Source organism: Homo sapiens, chromosome 6 (assembly GCF_000001405.40).
Source record: "Homo sapiens chromosome 6, GRCh38.p14 Primary Assembly".
Classification (NCBI taxonomy): domain Eukaryota; kingdom Metazoa; phylum Chordata; class Mammalia; order Primates; family Hominidae; genus Homo; species Homo sapiens.
This window is the reverse complement of record NC_000006.12, coordinates 45,753,391-45,756,528: the sequence shown is the minus strand read 5'-3', so window position 1 is coordinate 45,756,528 and position 3,138 is coordinate 45,753,391. Positions and strand designations below refer to the sequence as shown.

Sequence of the window (3,138 nt, the reverse complement as noted above, 5' to 3'; positions counted from 1 at the left end):
AGGGTGAATGGAAAGAGAACTAAAATTCCAGCTATGTGTAATGTGTCTCATGGGATCTATTGACAAGTGCTAGAGAAGTTCAGAAGAAATAGAGATGGCTTCCAGGTGGTGTGGGCAAGGAAGATGTCATAGAGAGGGTGAAACTTCAGGTGGATCTTGAAGGACTGGGAAGACTCAACCATGTAAAGATGAGAAAGCAGTGTTCCTCATGCTAAGGGAAAAGTCTGTGCAAAGGTCCAGATGTGGAAATTTCAATGTGCATTTAAAAGCAGTGAGACCAGACTGGCTAAAGGTAACAGTACATCTATAGGCTTAGGGAACATAAGAGTAGAAGAGTTTCTTGGAAATATACTATGAAGTGCTTTGAATGCTTTGCTTATTACAGGACCTCAGTATGGTTGTGCATAGAATGGTGCACCTTAGCATTTTGCAGTGTACAACCTAAACAATTGTACTTAGCAGTTTGGCTAACTCTTTGGAATTCATCCTGCAGGTAGCCATGAGGCACTGAAGGTTTTTGAGTAAGATGTCAAGATTTGATTTTTATATAGGATGTTGGGGACCATGCACTCAACTTGGAAGAGTTTTGGAAATGAGCAAGTCAAAAATAACTCACCACCAATTTGGGGGTGGGAAAGGAGAGAAACTGTGGTGCTTTAAAGCCCTGGCTTTTGGCATTCACAGTCTGAATACCTTTGGAGTCTGAGGAATCATAATCCAAATTAACAGCTTCTGAGCTGACTGGAGGCAAAAAAAAAAAAAACCAAAGAAACAAAAAAAAACCTTTAGAGTAAAACATATCATAGTTGACTAACCTTTATTACTGTGGGCTGTTCTAAAATTCTCCTTATCTAATGGCACAATTTCTAAGGGGGCTTAGGGGAGAAGTGGCAGGCTGTGGGGCTTCGAGGAGGGCAGAAGGAACCATGGTACTATCTAAAACTCTTCAGAGAGGCAGGAAATGAAGGAGCAGGTAGTTGAGAGGAGGATTGGGTCACAATTACTCCATTTTCTTTTTTGCCGTCTTTGAGAACAATTGTTCTGTGGCCTACATCAAAAATAGAGACCAATCCATAACTGTGCCAAGAAAAACTCCCCTGGATATAACATAACACTGAGTCTAACATGAGGTGGTGGGGGACAAGGAGGGAGTGTATCACAAAAGAAAACAATGGTGTGTGGTCCTCCTCACACACTCTGGCAATTGATGGGTAACTTTTGGTTTCACAGGTTCCTGCCAGTCCAATTGAACCCTTAGCCTTTACTCAACATCCAGGATGACCTGAGGCTCCCAGCCACACCTAGCTCCAGGGTCCACACACATCATGGCTCCCACTGAACCCCAGGGAAGACTGAAACTCAAAGGAGACCAGAGAGTTTCTGCAAGCTGGAAAGGTGTGAAACAGATGCTGGGGTGGAGGGTGCCAGAGGATGGGGATAGACATATGCAAGTTTCTGCCACCAACTTGTGGATTCAAGTTTGAGCCCTCATTTGCAAGTATCTGTGTAAAAGACTCCATTTCCCATGACCTCAATGGAACATGACTTGGCTGGCTGGACAAAGCATCCTGAGGAGAAAAGCAGCTTGCCCGGGATGTCACAGGAAACTTACAGGAGCCCTAAATGAGCCCCACTGCTCAAAGGCAGGAGGACTGTGTGGAGGGAAGGGATCCCCCAGCCACACCAAGAAAGCCTCTTCAGACCCTGAGAAAGAAGAGATAGGAAGGGAGAGCACAAGGTGGAGCATGTCTCTTCCACACACTCGAGGGCAACAGGACCAGGGTCCCCACCTCACCACTCCCCCATCTACCACACTCAGACACACCTGGGAAGTGCGAGCTGTTCTCTCGGAGAGACAGACCCAGGCAAAGCCCTGCTGACCCTGCAGCTTTCCCATCCTGGAGCCTGCCTAGCCCAGGGCAGACCCCTAACCACCCAGCCGCAAGGTGTGCCTCGGGACAGAAACAACGACCCGGGATTGCTGACAGGCAGACCAGCATCAGCGACCCAGAGCGAGGTTCTGGACAGCTGGCATTCTGCTCCACAGCTACCAACTGGGACAGCAGTGGGGATTAGTTGCATTTAACTGTTTTCTTTCATTTCTTTTAAGTGCTGCTTGGCTCATTTCAACCAGGGGCTCCTGAAGGATTGCAGAGCACTGCAGAGGCACTCCGTGTGCTGAAACAGCTGAATCACAAGAGGAGTTCCCTGAGACTCTTGCAGCTGGTCAACACTGCTCAAGGGACACACAACACGTTCCCAACTCCCTCTTTCCTTGCTTTTTTCTCATAACACAGGTGTGTATGCTCGTATGCATATCTGTGTGTATAGATGCAAATGTAGATATATAATATATAAAATCTTACAACACAACACAGTATAACATAGTAAGAGATAATATCATACAATATAATATCCTTATATACCACCATTGAGATCAAGACCCTCGATCTCAACCAACTTGTGGACAACAGTCCGTTTTACCAACCCCAGTTTGCTGGAAGTCAGTTCAGAGCAAGGTTGCTCTGAGATCTGTGCCCCTACCATCATTCTCTGAGGAAATACCAGTTGTACTTCCCATCAGTGCTCCAAATGTTCTTTGTGGGTAGATTTTTTTTTTCTCACTTCACAAAAACAGAAGCTTCCAGGTTACATGTACAGCCAATCATCAATAGGCTCCCCAGCTTGGGTAAACAGTTCATCCCAGATCACGTCTTCTGTTCAGCAAAAGCGGGCTCACACTTGCAGATGGCAGAAGAGTCTCCTCTAAGTGCCACAGGCCCTTCTGCCTCCCTTTTTAACCCCCTATTTGCCTCCTCATCTTCTCCTGCTGCTAATGTTATAAGAATGAGCTGTTCTCAATGAGAACACATGGACACAGGGAGGGGAACATCACACACTGGGACCTGTCGGGGGTAGGGGGCAAGGGGAGGAAGAGCATTAGGACCAATACCTAATGCATGCGGGGCTTAAAACCAAGATGACGGGTTGATAGGTGCAGCAAACCACCATGACACATGTATACTTAAAGTAAAATAATAAAATAAAATAAGAATGAGCTGTTCTCCCACAGTCTCACCTCCACCCATGTCTAGATGTTGATCCCTAACTCTCCTTGTACAATAAAGAAGTAAAATT

At 46.0% G+C, this 3,138-nt stretch overlaps 1 annotated feature.

The window, feature by feature from the left end:
• Nucleotides 1,413-1,913: an enhancer, noted in NCBI's record as "H3K4me1 hESC enhancer chr6:45722353-45722853 (GRCh37/hg19 assembly coordinates)". NCBI's record gives its function as "activates a minimal SCP1, AML or CMV promoter by ChIP-STARR-seq in primed H9 embryonic stem cells {active_cell/tissue: H9 hESC(primed)}" and the evidence as "EXISTENCE:reporter gene assay evidence [ECO:0000049][PMID:30033119]".